Source organism: Homo sapiens, chromosome 16 (assembly GCF_000001405.40).
Source record: "Homo sapiens chromosome 16, GRCh38.p14 Primary Assembly".
NCBI classification, from domain to species: domain Eukaryota; kingdom Metazoa; phylum Chordata; class Mammalia; order Primates; family Hominidae; genus Homo; species Homo sapiens.
The window spans coordinates 3,781,743-3,808,232 of NC_000016.10; the positions used below are offsets into that span (position 1 = coordinate 3,781,743).

At 44.1% G+C, this 26,490-nt stretch overlaps 1 protein-coding gene across 10 annotated transcripts in view, besides 2 other annotated features; it reads right to left on the reverse strand.

Annotated features, from left to right (window-relative positions):
- The window catches only part of CREBBP (CREB binding lysine acetyltransferase), a 155,660-nt gene that overhangs the window by 56,689 nt on the left and 72,481 nt on the right, over nucleotides 1-26,490 (reverse strand). For 8 of the 10 annotated variants that reach the window (XM_047433624.1, XM_005255124.5, XM_005255125.5 and 5 more), the window contains 3 exons: nucleotides 11,644-11,884; nucleotides 10,239-10,352; nucleotides 942-1,184 (listed from right to left, as the gene is read on the reverse strand). In XM_047433624.1, coding sequence (XP_047289580.1) covers nucleotides 942-1,184; nucleotides 10,239-10,352; nucleotides 11,644-11,884 — 598 coding nt within the window. The remainder of the gene's footprint in view (nucleotides 1-941; nucleotides 1,185-10,238; nucleotides 10,353-11,643; nucleotides 11,885-26,490) is intronic. The other 2 variants (XM_047433625.1, NM_001079846.1) reach the window with 1 other exon arrangement.
- Nucleotides 6,114-6,173: an enhancer, noted in NCBI's record as "active region_10334". NCBI's record gives its function as "activates an Ori minimal core promoter by ATAC-STARR-seq in GM12878 lymphoblastoid cells {active_cell/tissue: GM12878}" and the evidence as "EXISTENCE:reporter gene assay evidence [ECO:0000049][PMID:35858748]".
- Nucleotides 6,244-6,543: an enhancer, noted in NCBI's record as "active region_10335". NCBI's record gives its function as "activates an Ori minimal core promoter by ATAC-STARR-seq in GM12878 lymphoblastoid cells {active_cell/tissue: GM12878}" and the evidence as "EXISTENCE:reporter gene assay evidence [ECO:0000049][PMID:35858748]".

Below are 26,490 nucleotides of genomic sequence, written 5' to 3' on the forward strand. Positions count from 1 at the left end.
CAATTTGTCTACAATCTTCCTATTAAAGGAAACGAAAGCTGAGACTAAAAAAGGTTAAGCTAGTCCCAAATTATACCATCAACAGGAGAGGAGTTAGATTAACACTTGGGTCTCAGGATTCTAACTCAGTCTCCTGGCCAGTATTAGTTAGACATTCATTAGGGCAGTTGTTTTCCAGAAAGCAACAAGTAAGATGACTTTAGCTGGGCATATTTTAAGGAGTAATTTTTAAGTGTAAAATAGTTACTCTATTAGGGAAAGAACAAAACTAGCACAACTAGTCAGCCAGTCTTGACTTCACAGACATCACTGCTTAGCTTAAGCCTAAATGTAAAGGGACTGTGTCCACTTAAAGAAAAATATTAAGGAAACCATATGCAGAAATGGCAAAATCATGGCGATGTGTGAGCAAACGATCAAAGGCTGGCAAATAATGGGCTGGGGTGACAAAAGAAACCATGACATGTCCAGCAGCCTGAGCCAAGAGTTTCCAGGACTCCTGTCATTGTCATTAACCTGCTGAAGTCCAGGCTGGTCACTTCCAACTGAGGGGTAGACCCTAACCAAGATGTGTGAGAAACTGGCAAACACAAGTACTCCAACAAATAAATGACAACAGTCAGCATGAGGCGTCCAGTCAGCATCCTGACTTGTGAGATCTGCATTCTGAGGCACATGGCACATTCTTTATGAAAACCGTCCAGACAGAAGTGGCACAGCAAGCAACAAAAACATTGCTTCATTTGCAAATGCTGCTCTTTTTATAAGCATGTAACATTTTCCTTGCATCAGATACTTCAGCTTTTTCCTGGGAGATTTTTTATTTCAACCACCGTAGTAAAAAACACAAAACAAACTGAAAACTGCCTTGGGTTCCATCACTCCATTCCCTTTGCTGCATGTGGACAAGTAAGAACGAAGTTGAGAGTTCCTTCACCTACCCAGGGGGTTGAGAGTCCTCATCTGCTGGTGGGTTTGAGGCTGTGCTGGTTGCTGGCCAGGAACCTGAGGCTGCAGCTGCGTCTGGGGCTGGTTCATGTAGGGGAGTCCGAGAGCAGCATAGGCTCGCTGCATGGAGCTGGGGTCTATGGGATTTGGGTTACTTAAAGAAGTGGCATTCTGTTGCCCTGTGCCAACAGAACCAATTGTGTTTTGAATTCCACTAGCTGGAGACCCCAGGATGGCTATAACGACAAACAGACAGACAGACAAAAACGAGAGGTAAGTAAAAGGGAGAAGCCCACGAATGATTTAAAAACTATTGAGAAGCAAATACATTTCATCAAAATACTACACATGAATATCATAAAGCAGTAAACAAGCCTAGGGAGAAAGGAACTGTGCTGAAGGACTCATTTATTCTGCCTAGCAGTAAGTGAGGAACAAAAAGTTAAAGAAAAGTCAAGTTTCTATCTTAGCATGCAACAGACCATAAAATCTCACAGATAACACTTGAAAAAAATTATTATGTCTTAAAACCTAGAGACTCCTCAAGAAGTCAGTTCCAGGGAGTGGCAAATGTATGACAAGGGAAACGTCTGATTCTCTGGGGACCAGCAGACACCTCTGAGATGAACAGAGGAGCCCCCTCCTGTTGACCCCAACCCTGTCCTTCACTGCTCACCTGCACAGGTACAGAGGGCTTAAGAGAAGGAGCAGAGATGATACCTGGTCGGTCAGTTTTGATTAATAAATCTATAATGTGCTCTTCCAAATCACATAATTGCAAGTCCTTGAAACATACACAAACAATGACAGCATGGACATATCCTTCTGATGGGATTCCTATGCAGCAGAGCACCATGCTGAGCTCTCCGGCTACATGAAGCTGTTCAAGAAATACTGTACTTGATTGATTGACTGACTGAGCTGTTTGAAATTAAGGTTGGAGTGAGGCTTCGCAATTCTGCATGGGTCTTATTATCCAGGGGCTACCTCAGCACCTCTGATATTCAGGAGGTGGCTCTGCCTCACGTGGCCAAAGTCAGCTTCTGCTACTGAGGCCCACTGCTGGCTGGCAGGGAAGCTGCCCCATCCAGCTAGCTAACCCCAGGAGACTAAAGGAAAAACTGGTGTCAACATAAGGAGCTCCATCCCAAAGGGCTTCCAAGGTAATGGAGAGACAACTCCAAACTTGCATCAACTTGGACATTTCAAGGTCAATTCATCTACCCACCTACCTACCCACCTGTTACCTGTTTGCCTGCCCCCTCATCTGTCGCAACAACCCAAATGCTGTTGTGTGAAAATTTATCATATGGCAGAAGTTCTATATGATACCATTTATTCCTATTTTTGAGTTCCTTTCTAACTTCCACAAATTTTAGAGTCATGTTAAAAATAGCATCTTATAGTGTTGTTGCTATAACACACCATTTTTGATACATAAAACACGACCACAAAGCCTTTCTTTCAAATCCCAACCACTATGTGTAACAGTAATATTCTCACATTCAACCATCAGCACACCTATAATAAACCCAATACCTACCAGAGCAACTTAATTAAACTAAAATGTGTGAAAAAAAATTCCTGGTAATTATACTTTCCATACTATTAACTTTTCTAATAATGATATTCAGATCAACTCATTAACACTCATCAGACACAACTACATACACCAAGCACTCATTAACATAAATGAAAAGCAACTCCCAAGGTGCACTTTATGACAAGTGTGTAGCTGAAGTAAGTCACGCACAATACCTTTAAAAGTATTCTAATACTTACTACTCCCCAAAACTTTAAACATGTGTCCACCATACTTCTGAAACCGACATCCTACATTTTTAAGAAGCACTATGGTATAGAAATCAAAGTTAACAGTGGTAGGATAGTTTATTTTTCTACAACCTTGCGCTGTAAGGAAGAACAGGGCTACACTATATTTAACACACATGGTGATGGACTGTGGAGAAGAACTTAAAAGAAACAAAGTATGGAGCCTTCCATTTCCCGTAAACCCTTTATTGACTTCTTCCTACTACATTTCTCTTTTATCCACACCTCCCCAAGTGCCATCTACTTAACTAAAATGCCCCACCTTACAGTGAATGCCACTCCTAAGCTCACAGCACTTACAGGGCAGCCAACGCCTCATACTCACATAGGCCTCCCACGGAAGCTGCTGACACGGTCACTGCATTTTGTGTTAGAGGCATTCATTTTCTAAACGTAAACATTATTATATTTTTATTTTAAAAGAAAATATACCTATGAGAAGCATTTGGAACTCATCATTTCTAAAATTCAGAAGCAAAGGAAATTAATTATGAACAAATAAAGAAGGTCTCTGCCATTTAAGCATGGCTGAATTTGAAGTCCAAATGATGCTATTACATGAAATGACACAAATACTGAAGGGTAAGGGTGCTCAGGCATTCACTGCAGGGTGATGGCTGACTGAAAGGGGAGTCACTATGTATAAGCCACCATCAACTGTACTGCAACCTCAAGGTGCTCCAAGTGCTCCATGGTGGTATTCCCAATCCCTCTCTGAAATCCCACAGTGACTCCTGTACCCGCTTGTCTTTAGACACTGACCCTTCGTGTATTCACTCACTCACGTGACAGACTCAGTGAGTACACTCTGCCAGGCTCCCAGACATGGTGTGGGCACAATCTCTGCATTCCCTGAGCCTAGGGACAACAGATTATCTAATAATCACCTAATGCACCCAAACTGCACCTTGGAACCCTGGGACAGGGAAAATCAGGCTCATGTCACGTTCCCTGTGCATCCCTGAAAGGTGGGATTAATGTCAAATTCGGTTTTGCTCTTCACCACCTGCCACATGGGCCACGTAACCTGCTGTGCAGAGTCCAGGGGACGTGCCAGCTATAGCGCAGCGGCCAGCACATCGTGGGCCCTCGCAGCGCAGCCCATGGAGTGTCTTGGAACTGAACAGAAATGCACGGAGATTGGTCCATCTACCTGGCATCCCTAAGGATGAAGTTTCTCTATTTATCCTTTCTGTATTATTGCCACTTAACTTCTTCCAATGTCAAGGCCGTGTGCTCATTTGGCCATTTTTACATCTTTTTTCCTCGCTAGAGCATAAAGCTCTAACTTTTAGGAAGTCACAACACACCTGCAATGCACTAACACAGTGGCTGGGTTCTTCTGGGCCCATCAGGCAACACTCCTGTCCCGGATATTTACCTCTTTAAAGCTCCCCAACATCCCCTAGTCTCACCACCCCTTCTGATGTTGCTGAAGAAGGAGCCTATGACCTATGAACAAAAGGCCAAGTTTTATAGCAGGCTCTTTCTCGGACTCACCTGCCACTCTTCATGCACAAACAATGTTCCACTAAGAGGCCGGGTACGGCCAAGTGTAACTGGGTGCAGTGGCTCATGCCTGTAATCCCAGCACTTTGGGAGGCCGAGGCAGGTGGATCACTTGAGGTCAGGAGTTCGAGACCAGCCTGGCTAATAACATGGTGAAACCCCATCTCTATTAAAAATACAAAAATTAGCTGAGTGTGGTGGTGCGTGCCTGTCATCTCAGCTACTTGGGAGGCTGAGGCAGGAGAACCGCTTGAACCTAGGAGGTAGAAGTTGCAGTGAGCTGAGATCGCGCCACTACACTCCAGCCTGGGCAACAGAGAGACTCTGTCTCAAAAAACAAAAGAAAAAAGGAATGTTCCACTAAGAGGTTTTCTGTACAGTCTATGTTGCTGATGCAAAGAACTCAGTTACTCAGACAACTTAAGCCCCTAATCATCCTCAATAAAACTGAACTCCATTTGGAAATTCAGTGAAAACGGACATGAATCAAATCTCCAAACTTTGTGAGGGTAGGGGGAGACAGACCATGAAGCAGAGCAGTAGTTGCTACAGCTGATGCTTCACCAGCACGAGAGTGAGCCACGGGGTCACCCAACGCAGGCCAGAAACACAGTGCTTGCGGGAGGCGAAACTTGTGTATGGGGAAGGCCAGCTGTAGGGCTTGAGTCCACCTGGTTTTGGTATACCTGGGGTGTCCTGGAACCAAATTCCCAAGGATACCAAGACACTTAGATTTCTACTAAAAAAGCAATGCTAGAATTTATTCAGGTGGCTCACGCCTGTAATCCCAGCACTTTGGGAGTATGAGGGTGGGGAGATCACCTGAGGTCAGGAGTTCAAGACCAGCCTGGACAACATGGTGAAACCCCATCTCTGCTAAAAATACATAAAGTAGCCAGGCATGGTGGCATGTGCCTGTAATCCCAGCTACTCGGGAGGCTGAGGCAGGAATCACTTGAACTAGGGAGACGGAGGTTGCGGTGAACTAAGATCGCGCCACTGCACTCTAGCCTGGGCGACAGAGTGAGACTTCGTCTCAAAAAAAAAAAAAAAAGAATTTATTCAGACCTGCAGCCATCTCTACAAAGTTGCTGGTGGCACCACCGTACCTTGCGGGCATTGTGTGGGCCAGGACCTACTTCCTACCTGGCACCTTCCTATGCACTGCGTGGGGCACCACAGTGAAGAGAAGCACTGAGGGGAACCCAGGCACTGCCAGGCTGGAGACTCAGCCTCCTATCAGGCACGGCCACAAGCCCTCAAGCAAAAGGCTTTCTTCAGAAGCCAAGTGACACTGGCGCAGTGACACTGCTCCTTGCTAGCAAGGAGAAAAGCTGTTCAGATGAAACACATCACCCACGACCCTTTGGTGCTTAAGTCAGGGTCAATCAAGCCCACCATTCTCTCTACAGCCTTCAGATTCTGCTCCTTGCTGTCCCCCATCCCACTACAGTCTGTCAAAAGAGGTGAAAATCTCTGAAGGGCCCTCAAGTGAACAAAGGGCCTGCTCCACACACACTCACTGGGCACCTGATGGGCTATTCGATGAGTGGCAGTTCAAAGGACGGAGATCTTGACTCCATATAAAAAAAGGAGGTTTTTTTTTTTGTTTTGTTTTGGTTTTTTGTTTTGTTTTGTTTTGTTTGAGACGTAGTCTTGCTCTGTCGCCCAGGCTGGAGTGCAGTGGTGCGATCTTGGCTCACTGCAACCTCTGCCTCCCGGGTTCATCAAGTCATTCTCCTGCCTCAGCCTCCCACCTCAGGATACCGAGTAGCTGGGACTACAGGCGCATGCTGCCATGCCCAGCTAATTATTTGTATTTTAGTAGAGACGGGGTTTCACTGTGTTGCTCAGGCTGGTGTTGAACATGAGCTCAGGCAACCCGCCTGTCTCACTCAGCCTCCCAAAGTGCAAGGATTACAGACGTTAGCCACTGCGTCCGGCCAAAAGGAGGTGTTTTAAACAATCTGAGGCACCTACAGATGGAACATGTTGCCAGGTGAAGCAGTGGGAGCTACACTCATGGAGATGCCGGGCAGCAGCTGGGGCCATGGCTGACGCAGCCGGGACAGTGCGTGCATTAGGCTGGCTCTGGGGCCGACCCTGCACACTTGCTTCAACAGTCCCTGGGGGACTCTAGGTTGGAAAACCCCTGGTCTCTCTCTCAGAGAATGACTCAAACCCTCTCACCAGCACTGGCCCAGATACCTGGTCTTCCAAGGCATCCAGAGCAGTGCATCTCAGATTTTAATGTGCACACTAATCACCCAGGATTTTTATAAAAATGCAGGTTTTAATATAAGAGGTCTCAAATGGGGGCCCAATTTCTTTATTGCTTACAACCTGGGAGCACCTCTATGGCTTCCCTGAGGCCTACACTTTGAGCAGCAAGAACTTCACAAGTGAGGCAGCATAAGCCCCAAGAGGGGAACCTGCTCACGGGTCCCAAAGCCCAGTCAACCATGCCACTCTGTGCACTGAATTTACTGGAGGTCAGATGCCAGGACTGACATAAGATACTTATCTTGGCAAGTCCTAATTATTCAAAAAAAATTGAATATTGCTATAAGGGATGGTTAACTCGAGATCAGTGATTACAGAATCTTTAAAAAACAATTCAAGGAAAAATCGAATGAGGCCAGGCGCGGTGGCTCACGCCTCTAATCCCAGGACTTTTGGGAGGTCAAGGTGGGAAGATCACTTGAGCTCAGGAGTTCGAGACAAGCCTGAGCAACATGGTGAAACCCCATCTCTACAAAAAATACAAAAATTAGCCAGGTATGGTGGCAGATGCCTGCAGTCCCAGGTACTCAGGAGGCTGAAGTGGAATGACTGCTTGAGCCCGAGAGGTTGAGGCTGCAGTGAGACTTGGCTATGCCACTGCATGCCAGTCTGGGTGACAGAGCAAGACTCCGTCTCAAAACAAACCAACCAACCAAACAAAACTCAACACAGGCCAAAAAGGTAATCAATGGTCTGGGCTTCATTTCAAAGAACCTCAGATTAGCGCCACAGGTGATTCTGGAAGGTTCTCTCAGTAGAGACATTAATCACAGAAGTTAAGAGAGTGGAGCATGTGCTGACCAAGGAAGTGTGCATCAGGTAAGACCAGCGCTGGCCTGTGGGAAACACTGCCTAAAAAGCAGAGTCCCGGGGCCCCTAAGGCAGTCTCCACAGAGCGAGCACAGGTGGGTCTCGGCAGAGTCCCTGAGGCTTCCAGGAGCTCATCACAGTCCACCTTTCTGTTCACCTCGTTTGCACAGGAACCCCAGTCCAGTCAAATGCATGCCCTCACAAGCTGTGCACTGTGCAGACACTGTCCCCACTGTCTGAAATGTTCTTCCTTTGTTATTCTGTTTGCACTGGGCTCCACCAAGTCCCACCTTTCTCTACAAAGTAGTCAGGTGCGCTCCAATTCTCCTCGAAAAGAATGCTGATTGCACTGACTTGTCTCTACCTCGGTCCTTTGAGGGAGGTCACCCTTACGTTATTTTTAACATATATATTGTCTTCAAAACCCAACCTTAAGCCAACGTAGGGTCAGATTCACATTTTCCTCTCTGGGTTCCTAACTCAAGAGTTCACACACGATAAGCATAATTTGCTTTGGGAGAAGAGAAAAAACAATAAAATTTACAAAAAGGATATTGCTGAAACCTTGTCAATCATACTTTTGTAAAAAAAAACTACCAAAACCTTGCAGCAAGTTAATCTAAATCTTCCTTGTGACTTTATAAAATCATCCTGGTAATATCTTACATTCTGACTAGTAGAAAACCTGTGGTTTACCACTTGAGAGAGCATGCACAGAATCAATTTTCACAACACTCAGGCCGTTATAAGGATGGTTTAAAAAAAAAAAACCACATACGCTTCTTTTTTCTTTTAAAACAAAAACCACATAAGTGTTTCTTAAAAAGAGAAATCACCAAAGTTTACAACTGTCATGGTAGTATGTACTAAAAACAAAAGATCCTCAAAAAGCCACACCCCCAAATTAAAGTTAAGAATAAAATTCTAGCTCATTATTCATAGAATATTGTATAACTACAAACTTGACAATGAATATTTTGGCACTTAAAGAGCCTATTACTGAAATGTGCCCTAAAACACAAGAAATTTAGCCATCACAATATACTAAAGAAAAAACTTTTACAGTAATGTGGGAGGAAAAACAGACTGTATTCCATTAGAACTACTGTCCCAAATATCTGGTTCTAGAAGACCCAGGATTCCAGAATGTCACTTTATATAAGAAATGTCCAGGGAAATTGTTTATTAATTCAAATTTTAGTCAATCAAAGAATAATTTAACTGACTTTTAGGAAACTGGCTTTTTTTTTTTTTTTTTTTTTTTTTGAGACGGAGTTTCGCCCTTGTTGCCCAGGCTGGAGTGCACTGGCGTGATCTCGGCTCACCGCAACCTCCACCTCCCAGGTTTAAGTGATTCTCCTGCCTCAGCCTCCCAAGTAGCTGGAATTACAGGCATGCGCCACCACGCCCGGCTAATTTTGTGTTTTTAGTAGAGACTGGTCTCCAACTCCCAACCTCAGGTGATCTGCCCGCCTCGGCCTCCCAAAGTGTTGGGATTACAGGCGTGAGCCATTGCGCCTGGCCAGGAAACTGGCTTTTAAAGGAAACTCGTTGTGGTTCTTCTGTAGGGAGGCAGATAACAGGCCCCATTACCCTGGCATTTCTCTTCTCTATGACAGGGACACCCTGCTTTAAAGGAAGCAGGGTCAGCGTCAGCTCGCTGCCTACTCCCTCGCCGCCAGAGGGAGGTGGGCTGGACTCAGTAAAAGGAAAACCACGGGGGCTGTCACTGGCACGCCACTCCACAGTACTCTTAGGAACAAAGCACTTTTTCCATCTTTCCCTGGGCCACTCAGAAACAACCAGAAAGAAAAGCAGCACATGTTCTCCAGGCAGCTGCGGGGTCTTGAGGAAGGATGATCAAGAAGAATGAGAGGAATGAACACGTAATACACAAAACAGGGGAGGGTGGCAAGATGGCACAGACGAGATGGAGGAAGATGAGGAAGACTGTGCTGTGCTGGAAGGGTCGCTAAGGGTACAGCTCCAGCCAGAGGGGACAGGAGACTGAAGGGCACTTCCTAGCTGTCCGAAACTGAATGACACACCCAAAGACCACAGTTTTACCTCTAAAATGACAGGAAGATGGTTGAAAAACGGGAGGGAGGTTCATCCTTCTTACTGCCTGAAGCCTACAAATGGCAGGGAGCCCCAGAGCCCCAGGCGGACCTCCCAACAAGCAGGGATCGCTGCGTAACCAGCCGTGCCGAGGGCTACAGACAACCTAGACAACGGCAAAACGACTGGGGTGATCAGGATGCAGCAGCCCTAGGGCAGAGGCTCTCACTGTGAAGCAGAGTGAACGTTTAGTTATACAAAGAGTTCTGGGGACCATAGCTCCACGTAGAGGGAAACCTTCATAAATGTCTGTGTGGGATTTTATACTGACCCAGACTGACTGACAGAGCCTTCAAAATTTACTTCAGGATAAGGGCTTTCCAATTCCAAAAGAAGTATCCCCTCTATCCCCCTCCCTAAGACGTCACTGCCATTATAGCGACATGGAATTTAAATTCTCACGTATGGAGTAACTGTCAGGAAATACCATGTCTTCGTGTTGGCTCAGTGAACAAAGTGACTCTGCTGTTCCATGCTGCTTCAAGTGCATGTATGCAGGGGGCAGGGAGAGGGAGAGGCAGTGAGTGAGTCAGGGTCCAACATTATCACAGCCGTTCCTGACACGGAGAGCCCGCCTGCCCTCTGAGCTTGGCTGTACCTTGGGCTGCTGTCCGCCCTACCTCACCCTGCACTCCATGGCTCATAACCCCTGCCCACTCCCTACCTACTCTCTGAATTTTCTTTAGAAACAACTTCTATTCTCATCTCCAAGCTTCTCTGCCCCCGTGCTCACTTACTTTGTTGGTTTCGCTTGTCACTGGCATTTTTCAAAGGGAGGCAAACAGGACAGTCATGTCGTGTGCAGTTCTTCCAATGAGAGATGATTTGTCGTGAAGATGCACAATGGGCAACTATGACCAGAAAAACAACGAGATGTTATTTTTCTATCCAAATCGTCACACTTTCAATTATACCTAAATTATAATGCCAGATTCCATAAGAAAATGGTAACAAGTGTAACCATAACACAGTATAGGCAGTCCTCAACTTACAAACAGGCTGTTTTCCAAAAAGTTTGTAAGTTGACTGTTGAGAAATCCAAACAAAACTTCCCCTAGAAGCAATGTTATGAAGGATGGGTGATAAAGGGCAGCCCACAAAACAAAACAAAAACTATTCAACCTGGAATAGCGAACAACTGCAATGAAAGGTAGAACAAATAATAGTTCTGTGATGTCACTATTTAAAATAAAAATGTTCAATTATGTTTCAAGATGAAACCACCTAAATACTACAGTGAAGAAATACAGATAGAGAAGCAAATGAGAAGTCTGTAGAGATTCTGAAAGGGACTCTGGGCACTTGGTGAAGAAGTACTCGAGAGGCTAACTGACCCTGGTTATTCCGTCTTCATCTTCTAAAGGTCTAACCTTACCCTTCTCTGCTTCTCTGTTACAACAGGGTTACTCTGGGGACTCACAAATGTCACAACGGGAGACGGGGAGACCAGGGGGAGATTCCCCTAAGTTTATGAGCATAAGCAGAGAAGGAAAGAGAATAAAGATTAAAGGAAAGTACAGCTGTTAATAAGAAACACTTCCTTCGGTAGAAATGAGGTGTCTGCGGTAAAAGGGGAGACAGAGGGCACGTGAAGTGCCTAGTTCACCACCCCCCCTGGGATGATACAGTGCATAGTTCCCCATGTCACTGCCAGTCACCCAGGACAACTTCGCTGTCATCCGCACTTGCCTCAAGACACAGGACAGAGGAGCAAGGCCGCAGGCCACCAAGACAGATGTTGGGATGCAGGAAGGGCGTGTGCCTGCACGTGCCTGTGCTATGTTCATTGCCCCAAAAGAAAACCACAATCTAGACATTCACAACAAAGACAGTGCTCAAGAAGTGACCAATGTCTTCCGTGACAGAGGAAGGAGGAAAAGAACAAATACGGGGCACAGCTTCAAGCAGCAGAAGTTCACAGAGTATCAGAAAACCAAATCGCCTTTCTCTTCAGCAGATAAGACTTCCTGGAGCACCTGACTGTCGTCGCGTGGGGAACGTGAGCGCAACATGTCTTGCCACACCCAATGGAAGGCAGCACTCAGGCTGCCGGAGCCTTATGAACCAGAGAGCTGCTGTAAGAACAATAAAGGCAAATTCTTCCTGACCTCTACCACTAGGAGTTCCAAAAACAGCACTTACCTTGGCAGGCTTTCCCAGCCTGACAATGCGTCATGTGATTCAAAACGTTTTTCATGGTTCGACAATGCGGGAGCGAGCAGGCCCGAACCTCTCCGTTTGCTTGCTCTCGTCTCTGACACTTATGAGCATGAAGCAGTAGAACCAGCTGCTGCTGTATCAGTTTGCGTTTTTCAGGATCTGCAGTGGGGCCTGTTGCAATTGCTTGTGTGGGTACAATTCCCACTGATGTTTGCATCTGAGACTAAAATAAAGCAAAATAATAAAAATACTTTAACCTCTCAGAGTTCCAAGTCATATTCATTAATTATTTCTCAAACAAAAGCAAAAGCTGATGGATAATACCGACCACAGAGAGAAGGCTGGTGTAGTTCTCTAACCCACTGATGACTTTAAGAAGATCCAGCAGCACAGAAATCAACCCAACTCAGCAGCAAGGCTGATTCAAGTTCACTTGTATACAATTATCATCCAAGCAAGACAATGGCTGGCTCTTCACTGTAGCAACCAAAATCCAACTCACTCTACAATATACACAACTACAGGAAAAGCTGTGTACTATACCAGCTGGACCATATGAAACTGCTGTTTCTGTAGGTCCCAAATGGCCAAACACTGGCAATTTCATAGGGTACAACCTAATTAAAAAGATTGCCAAGGCCTGGCCGAGCGCGTTGGCTCACGCCTGTAATCTCAGCACTCTGGGAGGCCGAGGCAGGCGGATCACGAGGTCAGGAGATCGGGACCACCCTGGCTAACACGATGAGACCTCATCTCTACTAAAAAACAGAAAAAATTAGGACTATAGGCGTGGTGGCGGGTGCCTGTAGTCCCACCTACTCGGGAGGCTGAGGCAGGAGAATGGTGTGAACCCGGGAGGCGGAGCTTGCAGTGAGCTGAGATGGCGCCACCGCACTCCAGCCTGGGCGACAGATCGAGACTCCGTCTCAAAAAAAAAAAAAAAAAAAAAAAAAAAAAAAAAAGATTTGCCAAGGCCTGACCAATTGCAATGTACTACAAACATTTGATGTAGCAAAAAGAATCAGAGCCACCTTTTGGATTTCATTATCACATGACTAGAAGGACAATGCGTGCAGCTTGATTTCACAGCAACCATTACCTCTCCTAAAAGAATAATGACAGTTAGCCTTAATACAACCACCCAGTGCAATGGGAAATGCATTCTTGTCCTATGCTTTGTTTTTCATTACAATTTCCACTCAGACAGCTGACAATTTTTAAAGATTTGGTGATCTGCTAAAAATACAGAAAGGGTTTGCTTTCAGTTGCCTGAAATAACAAGCCAGACCAAACAAACCTTTTAACAGCAAGGCAAATGGAAAAGGGGACCCATAGAGTCTTCTTCTTTACAAACTATAAGCATTCTTCAGATAAACTTACTGAAAAAGACTTAGGCAGTAAGAGAAGTGTTCCTAATGTGCAACAGTATCATCCACAGTTCCGGGATTTCCAATTTTCTCTAGTACTCTGATATTTCCAGCTTGCTTCCACGACCCTCATTACCTCCCCTAAAGTACGCCACTCGGATTTTTTAAAAATGTATGAATCAAAACTGTATATTCACAAAGAGGAGAGAAAACTATACAAATAATTTTTAATGAATCAAAGCTCACTTTTAAAAGTTTATAGAGTTTTCTGTTTTGATTTTACCTTTATGAGAACTAGAAAATAAGTACGTAGAAAAGCTGGGTGGCTGGGCTTGGGAGCAAAACTCTTGGAAGTCTGAGAAGGACCCAAAGCAATTCTGAGAAGGACCCAAAGCAAAATCAGCATCCTAGCTGAGAAGCAGAACACCATGAATGCAGGGCTCAACTCCTAAGAGAAAATAGCCTCTTATGTTTATTTTTTCCTGATTATAAAAGTATATATATACACTGCAGGAAATTTGGAAAGCTAGAGAACTACTACAGAAATAATTAACAACAATTAAAATCCCATTATCCAGGAGTCCACTACTAAAGCGTTGATAGGTTTTTTTCCCTTCTTTTTTCTATATAAATGTTTACGTATGAACCATAATCAATAGAGCCTCGTATCTCCCCTGCAACACACATGTTTTGCTTAGTGTTTTTTCCATGTTCTGCCCCATACCACTAAACTGTCTCAGATAGTGGGCTGGAATGACTTGTAATGAACAGCATGTTACTCTTTTAACTTTATACTCATTTAACTAGTTCTTGTTATGGGGCATAAACTGGAATCCCTGGCCCCTCCTTTATTTTTTATAACTGTAAATAAAGCTTCAGTAAGCAAACAGGCCTTGAGCTGCCCCTGCAAGCATGCAGTACTGGTGTTAAGTCCACTGCTCAACTGGCTTATCCCTGTGGATTGGAAGGTCCATCGAGAAATCAACAGGAATGGAGATATGGAGGAATGGGAGAAACACAAAATGAGCCTCATTTAGGACTCTTTCTTTTACGTTTATGAAAATTTCAAACATACAGAAAAATGGAAAGGAAAGGATATCATCCTTACACCTAAGAAAAAGAACCATCCTTCTTGGGCATCAGCTAATACTGAGTCATATCCCAATTTCTCTGGTTGTCCAAAACATGTCTTTTAGAGCTGGTGTTCACAAATCAGGACCCCAAGAAGGCCCACATCCTGTATTTGGTTGTTTTTAAGGTTCTTAATCTATTGTATCTTCCCTTTTTTTACTCCTGACACTACCTTGTTGAAGAGACCACACAGTTGTCCTCTCACTGTGTCTTAAAGTACAGAAATATCACATACCAAAAAAATTATATAAAAATTAGGCAAAAAATTTAGCTCTACAAGTAAATTATAACCAGACTGTTCTTAATTCACCAACAATTAACACACTGATTTCATTTGGGACTTAAAAATATTCTTTTTTTAAAATTTCAGAGACAAGGTCTTGCTATGTTGCCCAGGCTGGCCTCCTGGGCTCAACTGATCTTCCCACCTCAGCCTCCCATGTAGCTGGGATCACAGATGTGTGGTGCCACCTAACTGGCTTGTACTTTTTTTTTTTTTTTTGAGACGGGAGTCTCACTCTATCGCCTAAGCTGGAGTGCAGTGGCGCCACCTCAGCTTACTGCAACCTCTGCCTCCTGGGTTCAAGCGATTCTCCTGCCTCAGCCTCCCAAGTAGCTGGGATTACAGATGCCCACCACCACGCCTGGCTACTTTTTGTATTTTTAGTAGAGATGGGGTTTCACCATGTTGGCCAAGCTGGTCTTGAACTCCTGACCTAAAGAGACCGGCACACCTCAGCCTCCCAAAGTGCTGAGATTACAGGCATGAGCCACCACGCCCAGCCTGGCATGTATTTTTAATAGTGTCTTTTGCACTACACCTGACCATATGTCAAAACAGGATGGTTGGAAACTATATGGCAAATTTAAAATTTGTTCTGTTATTTGTCTACCTCTGGATGGAGGACAAATGCACAGTTTAATGAGCTCTACATATTGTTTACAACATGCATCTCAAAAGCCATTCTGAGGGTGAATCAACAGTGGAATGGAAAATGTCTTATGTCCCTGTCTCTGTCTTTCCCCATGGAATTCTGTATATTTGTCTGGGACTAGCTTAGTTTTGCAAAGTACTTACAAATACAGGGGCACACTTAATTTCCTCCTCTCCCAGGCTGGTGTTCAATGAGCCATGAGAGTTAGATGTGAACTGCAGGTGGCCCCCAAATCTGTCAGAAGCATCCTTCAGACTTTCCCAACCTCCCTGCCCAGTTCCCACTGGCAGGCAGGCACTGAGGATGGAGGGAGAGTACTTCGGAACCTCCCTTTAAAGCACAGAACAAAGCCATCGTGGTGGAAGCTGCCCCAAAAGTAATCTACGTTTTGTGTGATTTTGTTTTTCTAAGAGCCAAGAAAATTTTGAAAAACAGTAAAAATAAAGGGGCAATCTATATTGCCAGATACTGAAACATACTATAAAGCTAATTTCTTTACTTAAGTCCAGAAACAGACATAGGTGTATATCAAATTAGCATATAGAAGTCCCCCCTTATCCTCAGAGTTCAGGTTCCAACTCCCAGTGGATGCCTGAAACTTCAGATAGTACTGAATCCTATATATACTGTATTATTTCCTATACACACACCTATGATAAAGTTTAATTTATAAATTAGGTATAGTAAGAGATTAACATTAACTAATAATGAAATAGAACCATTACTAACAATACACTGTAATAAAAGCTACATGAATGTGGTCTCTCTCTCTCTCTCTCTAAACACCTTATTGTACTGCACTCACTTATTTTGTGATTGCTGGTAAGTGAAACCCCAGAAAGTGAAACCCCAGATAAGAGAGGACGATTGTCTCCTAAAGGTGGTGCTTTACATTCAAGAGTGGTGAGGCATCTTTGATCCTTATCTTCCCTTTTATTTAAAAAAAAAAAAATTCACATGAACTAAAGTGAATAAAAATGGCTTAAAATGGAGAAAAAAATTTAAAAACTTTTAGGACATGAGGATGAGAAAGCCTTCTTAACATAAACACATAATGGAGTTTAAAAAGTGAAAAACTGCGAGCAAATTGGTTGATCTTTTATGCAAATGCTCTCAGGAAAGAAAGGATACTATCCCACTAAAAAATTGGGCAAAGAAAATGCAGACACCTCACAAAACACAAAGAAACGACAAATACAAAAATGTTCTACACCTTGGTGCTGAGGCAACACAAGGGAGGGAGGGATCGTTTCTCAATGACAATGAGGAGGAGCACAGGCACTGGACAGCCCAGGCAGAAGGATGCAGGCAGCCTCCTCTCTACCTCCCACTCAAAAATGAACTCAAGGTGGAGCAAACACTTCAACGTAAGAGTGACAATCGTACCATTCACAGAAGAAAACCGAGAATAAATCTTCACGACCTTGGATTAGGCAGTTTCTTACTACGTCACCAAAAGTGCAAGTGATAAAAGAAAAATAAACTGATTTCATAAAAAATTAAACTTTTATGCTTCAAAGGATACCATTACAAAATAATGAACTGTGAAAGTGGAAAGTGAAAGAGAAAATATTTGCAAATCATAGGTCTGATAAAGCACTTGCATCTAGAACATATTTTAAAAACTCTTACAACTCAGTAATAAAAAGACTAATAGCCCAATTAAAAAATAAGTGAAAGCTCTGAACAGTTATTTATGCAAAGAAGATACACGAATGGCCAATAAGCACATGAAAAGATGTTGAACCTTATTAGCCATTAGGGAAATGCAAGTTAAGACCACAGTGAGATACCACTTCACACCCACCACATGGCTATAATAAAAAGTCAAATGCTAACCAATAGCAACAGGGTGGCCAGGACGTGGAGAACCTGGAATCCTCATACATTGGTGTGGGAATGTAGAAGGCAGCAGCCACTCTGGAAAACAGTCTGGCAATTCCTCAAAAGGTCAAACATAAAATTACCACATGACCTCTGCAATTCCTATTTTAGGTATACAACCAAAAGAACTGAAAATGCACGTTCACACGAAAACTGTAAAAAATGTTCACAACAGCCTTTTACAAATAGCCAAAAAGTGGATACAATTCAAATGCCCATCAAGTGATGAAGGGAAAAACAAAACACGGTGTATAACCAAAACGGAATATTATTCAACCGTAAAAAGGGAAGTAACCACACATACTACAACATGAACTCCGAAAACATGCTTCGTAAAAGAAGCCAGTCACAAAAGACCACATATTCTGTGATTCAATTTCTAGGAAATGCCCAGAATAGATACATCCATGGGGGTAGAAAGACTAGCGGTTGGCTGGAGATGGGGGTTCAGGGGAAATGGGGAATAACTGCTAATGGTACTAGGTTTCTCTTTGGAGTGGTGAAAATGTTTCAGAATTGACTGTGGTGATGGTTACACAATATACTAAATACCACTCAACTGTACACTTGAAGCAAGGACTATATGGTACATGAATTATATCTTAAAAAGCTGTTTTTAAAAAGTTCTTACTAATCACTAAAGGAATAGAAATAAAACAATGAGGCATGTTTAATCTATCTATATGGCCAAGATTTAAAAAATGCTAATTGGTATTGATGAGGATATAAAGAAATGGCAATTCTCAAGTACTCTGGCAATTCGGTGTAATTTTGGAAAGCAACATGTATCAAAAAGAAAAACATGCATTTCTTTTGACAGTAACTCCACTTCTCATGATTCATTGTTAAGGAAGTAATTGGACAAGTATGTTAAAATATGTGTGCAAAGATAATGCATCACATTCTGATTAAATATTGAAAACTGGAAAAAATTCTAAATGTCTATTAAAGGTGGACTAATTAAACATCCTATGGCTACAGACTTATAATGAAACAAGAGGCACCCATGAAAAATAAGGCAGACCTCAAATAACCCCTGTCAAAGCCATGTGGAGCAGGGGAATGGGCCAGCCAAGCCCTGTCTGAATTTGTGGGAGAAAACATCCAATGACTGTTATTTAAGGCAACGAATTACTAACAACAATAAGGCAGACCTTTATGCTTTAACAAAAAGCTGTTTAAGTGACTACTATTTTAATACCAAAAAGCATTCCATTTTGGGGGGAAATTCCCGAGAAAACAAAATCAGACGAATCAGTAAGAAAATGATGAGGAACTAAATATAAAAAATTAAATTGTAAAAGTATGGGAAGGTAATTAAGGTGGGTACTTTGTTACGTAAAGGCAGTAAAGGCTTTAGTCACAGAACATAAAGCAGTGTTCCTCACTATTACCAGTAAAAATTCTTTTTATTTTTGGAGACAGGGTCTCACTGCTACCCAGGCTGAAGTGAAGTAGTGCAATCATGGCTCACACAGTCTCACCCTCCTGGGCTCAAGCGATCCTCTCACCTCAGCTTCCTGAGTAGCTGAGATGACAAGTGTGCATCACGACGCCCAGCTAAGTTTTAAAATTTTTTGTAGAGACAGAGTCTTGCCATGTTGTTCGAGCTGGTCTTGAACTCCTGGGCAGAAGCAATTATCTCGCCTTGGCCTCCCAAAGTGCTGGGATTATAGCTATGAGCCATTGCACCCGGCCTTCCAGTAAAAATTCTTAAAATACAGATCCTCTCATTTTTCCCCTAAGAGACGAGCCTGCTTTGTTTTTTTAATTTAGACTTTTCCCAATTTTTCCAAAATTAACATATATGTGCCTTTACAATGAGAATAAAGACATTTAAGAAGCCAGGAGTGGTGGTACACCTGTAGTCCCAGCTACTCAGGAGGCAAAGGTGGGAGAACTGCTGGAGCCCAGGAGATCAATGCTATAGTCTCCCACGACTGTGCTTGTGAATTGCCACTGTACCCCAGCCTGGGCAACATAGCAAGACCCTGTTGCTAAAAAAAGACAAAAACAAAATCAAAAACATTGAGAAAAGAGAAAAAAGAACAAAAGCCCCATGGGCGACTCCAATGCAGGAGAAGACTGTACAATTAAATAGGTGTGAGAGGCTAGATTACATAAAGACTGGCATTCTTTCTATGACTAAAATCACTAGGAACAAGTGTAAGGGCCATTTATGAACTAGGAAAAATTAAATCTGAAAGACACAAGACAAAACAAATCATGATGGAGCTATTATTTTTTCTCCTCCCAGTCCATCTTTATTCCTCACTCTGTGCCAGGCTCTGTGTTCAGGGTCCAAGGTACAGCAGTTCATTGAAGACACACACATCCCCGAGGGAAGAGTACTCTGGGGACTAGCCACACACGACAGGTGAAGTAACTGAGGCCCCAAGGAAAGGGCCTTGCCTGGGTGATGAGCCAACCAACTAGCAGCAAAGCCCCAATCCTGCAGCTCTCTGTGCCCCTCCTCCACAGAGGGCTGACCACCTTGCATTATAAAGTGTTCTAAGAGAATCTGACAGGAAAACTGGTGAACAACAGGACCAAAGCAACTCAAATAAATGCCTATGTCTCTAAACATAAGCACTTTAAATCTTACTCATGAGAGAAATGCTCATCAAAGTAAGATGACATCATTTTCTCCTATTAAAGGACAGGGTGGGCTGGGTGCAGCAGCTCACACCTGTAATCCAGCCCTTTGGGAGGCCGAGGTGGGCAGATCACTTGAGGTCAGCAGTTTGAGACCAGCCTAACTAACATGGTGAAACCCCATTTCTACTAAAAATATAAAAAATTAGCTGGGTGTGGTGGCGCACACCTGTAATCCCAGCTACTCGGGAGGCTGAGGCAAAAGAATCGCTTGAACCCAGGAAGTGGAGGCGTCAGTGAGCAGAGATTGCGCCACTGCACTCCAGCTTGTGCAACAAGAGCAACATTCTGTCTAAAAAAAAACAGAAGAACGGGGTAACAGTCCCTAGCCTTGGGAAGATGGTGTGATGCTGGTAATCGGGTACATGGCTTTTGATGGAAAGCACTATAATGGTATCTGTCAGAAGCCTTAAAATATATGCAATATGTGTTTCTGGAGCGAGGATCATTTCACATGCAATTTGTAATGTGGAAGGAGGAGGTGAGTATGGTGTGAGAGCCATACTGGTTTAAACCTTAGTCTCCCCTGCCTGTTACTATTTTGAGCCACTGAGTAAAGGGAGGTTAACACAAAGCTCACTGAGCCCACTCACCCCACCCATCATCTTCACTCGGTTTAGCCACAGGCTCTTTGCATGTGTTGCTTATTACATAATTGGCAGCCTCAACCACTGTGTATACTCCACTGTCAAACTACCTTTAAAAGCAAACTCTTTATATTTACTCTGGTATTCCTTAATTTTTTTTTTTTTTTTTTTTTTTTTTTTTTTTTTTGTGACAGAGTCTCGCTCTGTCACCCAGGCTGGAGTGCAATAGCATGATCTCGGCTCACTGCAACCTCTGCCTCCCAGATTCAAGCAATTCTCCTGTCTCACCCTCCCAAGTAGCTGGACTTACAGACGTGTGCCACCACACCTGACTAATTTTTGTATTTTTAGTAGAGACGGGGCTTTACCGTGTTAGCCAGACTGGTCTCAAACTCCTGACTTCAAGTGATCCACCCGCCTTGGCCTCCCAAAGTGCTGGGATTACAGGAGTGAGCCACCGCGCCCAGCCTATTCCTTAAATTTTAAAAGAATCTAACATGCATTTTTATTAGGACTGTTATTGCTACATAGGTTTTGGGTAATTTAGCCCCAATGCCATTTTTCCTATAGTGCCTGTATTCTATGCTAAGGACATAACAGAGATGTGCATACAGAATGTGGATAATAACGCTTATCCTCACATTCCTCACAAAAAAATAAGTCATTTTTTACTGTGTGTCCAAGAGTAGGTTATCATGTCTTCAAAGGACCCTGTGTTCCAAACAGCAAGAGACTGACCAAGAAAGAACAAGGAAGGACAGTGTCACCCCTCTGTGCAGCCAATGCCCCGGATCCACACCAGGCTGGGATTCTTGCTGCTCGTCCTCAACCTTCCACATCGCAACAGGGTCCAAACCTATGCTCCTCGGATACTCCCCCACCCACCTGGAAACCTGACTCCTCCACAACCTCCACCTAGAATCAGAAAACGATACCAAAGCGAACATCAGGCAGAACAAGGGCTGGCTCTGCAATAACCACTTGCTCAGGTTCCCTCATAAGGACCTACAACAGCTGGGTATGCAAAGCTGTGGCGCCATAAAACAAAGAAAATGCTCATTAAATGTACACAGCTGCCAACCTGGGAAGAAGCGATAATCACCTCAGAGGTGATAAACTGGTAAGAAACACAACATAGCTATTTTCATAGAGGAAATGTTTCTTGTGTTTTCTTCTTTTTGCTTTGTGTTTATTGATTTTTTTTAAAAAAATAAGATTATCTTAAAATTTAAGATCTAAATTCAGGCCGGGCAAGGTGGCTCACGCCTGTAATCCCAGCACTTTGGGAGGCTGACGGCGGGGAGGGGGGGGGGGGGGGTGGATCACGAGGTCAGGAGTTCAAGACCAGCCTGGCCAACATGCCGAAACCCTGTCTCCACTAAAAATACAAAAATTAGCCAGGTGCGGTGGCGGGCGCCTGTAATCCCAACTACTCGGAAGGCTGAGGCAGGAGAATAGCTTGAACCTGGGAGGCAGAGGTGGCAGTGAGCCAAGATCGCGCCACTGCACTCTAGCCTGGGCGACAGATCGAGACTCTCTCTCAACAACAACAACAACAAAAAAAACAAAACATCTAAATTCAATAGGGAAATAATCCAGAATGATTTATAAGTAATCTTAAAGCTGTGATTTAAAGTAGAAAGCAAATGGCTAAGGGGAGCAGGAAAGCCTGAGCCCAAGGCCAAGGCTCAGGGTAAGAAATGTGGCCAAGGGCGAGGGACTTGCCACTCCCTCCCCACTCTCTTCCTGGACCCACAGCCACAGCCTTCAGAACCCAGCATTCTACCTAGAAGGGGTGGGAGTTACTTGTTACAGCACAAAGAAAACCTATAAGGTGGCCGGGAGAGGTGGCTCACACCTGTGATGCTAGCACTTTGGGAGGCCCAGGTGGGTGGATCTCCTGAGCTCAGGAGTTTGAGACCAGCCTCAGCAACATGGCGAAACCTGTCTCTACCAAAAAAAATACAAAAAATTTGCTGTGCATGGTGGCACGTGCCTGTGGTCCAAGCTACTCGGGGGCTGAAGTGGGAGGATCGCTTGAGCCTGGGAGGAAGAGGATGCAGTGAGCTGAAGACTACACCACTGCACTCCAAATGGGGTGACAGTGAGACCCCAGCTTAAAAAAAAAAAATCACCCGACCAACCAACCAAAGAAACAACAAAAAAGACAACCTGCAAGATAGAAGATAGAAGGCACCAGATCTATTCCTACGGTCAAAGTGACTGCTGGACCAGACCAGGAGTCGAATGACCAAGTTCAAGAGAATTACCAATTTACTAAAAACTTAAAGTTTTTAGAATACTCTTCTTGAATACTGTTGATATATACATATGTATTCTTCAAGAATACTTACGACATTTACAGGTTCTAAGGATTAGAGGGAAAAAAAGGAACATAAACAAAAATTTACACAATTTTTTGATAACTTGGCAAATTAGTTACTGGACAGACTGTCTTTTTGGTGACGTGAACCTCAGGGCCATCTCAAAGGGTTGTGGAAAAGGTAAAAGGAAGTTAGGGTGATTTGGGCTGTGCAGAGACTGATGTAGCTCACACCGCTCCAGAGGAAGTGAAGTATTATATTCGCATTACTGCTAGCTACGACTGACCTCACCCAGACCCATGACCTGTGCTGTTTACTGAGTTGTTGCTTCTTGCAGGACTACTGCGGTGTATTTACTCGGTTCTTCTAAAAGTCACTTCATTTCTCAGAAATGCCTGCTATCCTCATTATACACTTCCAGCAGGCAGGCAGAGGCTGCAATGCTGGCTGTTAGTAAGTATGCAGCACATCTTGTGTAGACAAAAAACAAAACAAAAAAAACCTTCTGGCTAGGCCTCCACTTTACATGAGTATCTTTGAGATGATTTATGCTTCCACCTAGGAGGTTTTGCTGAAGAAAGGATTATACTAATCAGACTCTAGAAAAGATACTGCTGGTTAATGGGAAACCCATACTGGAAAGTAAGTTAAATGACCTTGACTGAGGCCTTGTAATATGTGGGGCTACCCCTAATACCAAAGGACTCGCTACTTTCTCTCAATTTATAGTTTCTTCTCATTTGCAACACATCACGTATCATTATTTTGTGCTTAAATTATGTTTCCCAGCTGATACTTATTGCCAAAACCAACGGGGATAAGTTTGAATAGAAGATTTATACTTAGCGGCATTTGAAGGCCCTGCATACATGTTTTCTCAGTGATCTTCAAGATACAGATGGAGTCAATAGATGTAAACTCTTAAGAATACACAAACACTTAAATCACTAATAATTATAGACAAGGGCTTACTTCCAAACCTTCCCCACGTTTTCCAGTTCAATTAGTGAGACACAATTCATAATCATAGTGTAATTTTTCTATAGACACTGTTATGGTAAAGAGATGACATGACTATTCACCTGCCGTCTCCACAGAACTCTGTAAGGACTCTCTTTAGTCCTAGGATAGAGGGAGGTATTAGACAAGCAGTGATTTTACAATTTCTACTTGTGCAGTGAAAGGAGCTTGTGTATAATGTTAGGGAACACAGGCATTTGTGCAAGGAAACCAAAACTAAGAGGAGCTCATCAAAGACGACAACAGAGAGAGATCCTGGCGTTCACGAAGCTTAACCCTATGCAGCCAGTTTAAGTCTTGCTCCCTCAATGATCACAATCTAGACAGGGGACAGAAAATTATGAAAATATGACAAACAAGGTTGGGGAGTGGGGGAAGATTAGTGAAGCCTTCTGAAGTACTAAAGTGGACATGAAGACCAACAAAGTAAGTCCACTCCACAGTGGGACAGCTGGTCACAATGCCAATGGCTCATGGTGTCAGTGGACAGTGGCTTTCATGATCTTTATTCCACATCAGAATCACTAGACCAGCTCATGTAAAACCACGAGTTCCAGCAGAACACAAAGAACCGCAAGCCCATGTATTTAAGAATTATCTGAGTTATAATTAGAGGGAATTAGGTGGAATTGGGAAATTGAGAAAGAAAAAAGCTGAAGTTTCACAAGTTAAGAGTGACTACAAGACACAGATTCTGCACCTTCGTCCTAAGAGATTGTGAATCGGGAGGACTGGGTGAGGCCCAGGAACTGCCAGTCACTCGGATGCAGGTGGGGCCATGGACAGGTGCTGAGACACAGCAATGGAATGAACCCCTGGACACAGGGGGCCCTGGAGGGCATCCTAGCACATGGCTTGCCGCTCAGGTGCTACCAGTGTCACTGCCGCAGCTGTGATATTCTGGCAGGACACAGAAGACCACTCTCCCATCCTCCCGTCTACACAGTCTTCCAGCCACACCACCCTTCCATTCAGAGACGTAGATCAGCAGCTGCCGTGGGCCCTGTCCACAACCTCCACTCCAAAATTCTGAAACTCAGTCACAACAAATCGTAACATCACTCATGAGCAATTTTAAATAAGCAGCACTACTGATGAATCTCCTGCATCTCAACTTTAATGGTGAAGTCTCCATAACGCAGTTCTTAAAAAAAAAAAAAAATCACACCTACGAACTCCACATTAGAAATAACTCTTGCAGGAGACCACGTGGGAGAACCTGAAGATGAGGCCCCTCTGGTCACTGAATGTTCTCAGTCTAAGACGTATCCCACTTCTACACGGCATTTTGTGAAAATGTCAGAAAGCCCAATCCAAAGCTTAAGCAAGACGTCACCAAGAATCAGGTGGGTTCCACTTCCAGAAGGATCGCCCTTGAACTTCTCCTCCTCACTCAGCTAAAGTGGCTTCAACTTCCTGCATCACACCCCACCCTGTAAGCCGATGGCCCATCTTCCCTCCAAGGCCCCCTGAAATGGTTCCTGCTCAACCCCCAACTTCCACTCACGCCCTGCTCCCTTCCCTCATGGTGGCCTTTCTGGACTTCTACCAGTTCCTACGCAAGCCAGTGCTGTCCCAATACCCTGGGGTCTCTGTGGCTTCTTCTCAACTTTCCAATCTTGCCTTTAAATCTCCTTCCTCAATGTGGCCTTCTCTGATGGCTCCATCTAAAGAGGTCCCTATGACAATCTGAACCGCTGAGTGCTACGCAGACCTCTTGGAGCAGTTTGTAACGATTTGTTTTCCGTGGCCACTACACCTTCCATTTCACAAAAGTGGAGTGAGCTCTGTGTCACTCCCAGTTGCCTTCTGGGGAGCCGACTCCAGCACCTGAGCCCACAAAAGGCTTTCAACACATGTGACAAATTAATTGAATGATCATATCCTTCCCTTCCTCAATGCTACCCAGTGTTGGACTCCTATAGAAACTAGGAGGGGAGAGGAACAAGAGCTCCCTGGCCCAAGACCACGTGGCTAAATCACTCCAGGAAAGAGCTGCAGAGGGCACCAGGTGATTTGGCACTGGAGTCCTGACTGGGATTGTTTGGGACACCAAATTTAGTTGGGTACCCCCTAAAGCATGACAATAAATGCAAATATGTTTGACACCTCATTTTTTCAGTAAATAGACCTAGATTTCTTTGTAAGTGTTTGCCCTCAGTATGCAAAAGTCTGTGGGTTTTGAGGCCAGATATAATTTTCAAAATTCAAAAAGACTACAAAACACATCTGAGGAACTGCAGACAAACTGTGTAAGCACGGGCTGGTGAAGCATTCCCGGCAGGCTCAGGGCTGCAAAAACATGACCTCAGAACATAACTGAAGAGTTTCAGGCTTTGCAAACAGGAAGCTACATAGCTTTGAACAACCCAAACTCCTCAGAGTCTCAACTTGCTCAGCTGTAAAATGGGACCTGGAATGATGTCTCTCAAGAGGCTATTGCAGGAATATGTTAAAAATTACCTAGAAAGATGTTGGGGAGACCATGTGTGCTGGTACCCCACTTTCCCACCAGCCCCTCTGGTTCCTACCACTATGTGGAGCACTGAAGGCTGTTCCTGGGTCAGGCTGCCTCACAAAGGCACACGTGGGCACAGCCCCATCTGATCTGTGCCCTCCAGGGTCAGTGGTGTCATTCAGTTTACCCCCAACAGGCATTTGTGGATCTGTCTCAAAGTCCACAGGGGTTCTTGTGAGACAGTGGCCACCAGGCAACCAATGCAGTTCCCATGGACAAAAATGCTTTCTCAGTTTACCCTGAGAAGATCAGAGACAGACCAAGAAACAGGAAGAGAGGGAGAGAGAAAGAGAGGGGGTGGGGAGAGAAGGGGAGAGGGAGGGATGAAAGAAGGGGGGGGCAGCGGGGGAGAGAGAGAGGCAGAGAGGAAAAGAAGTGGTTCTACTTTTGTCAGATGTCTGGAAGACA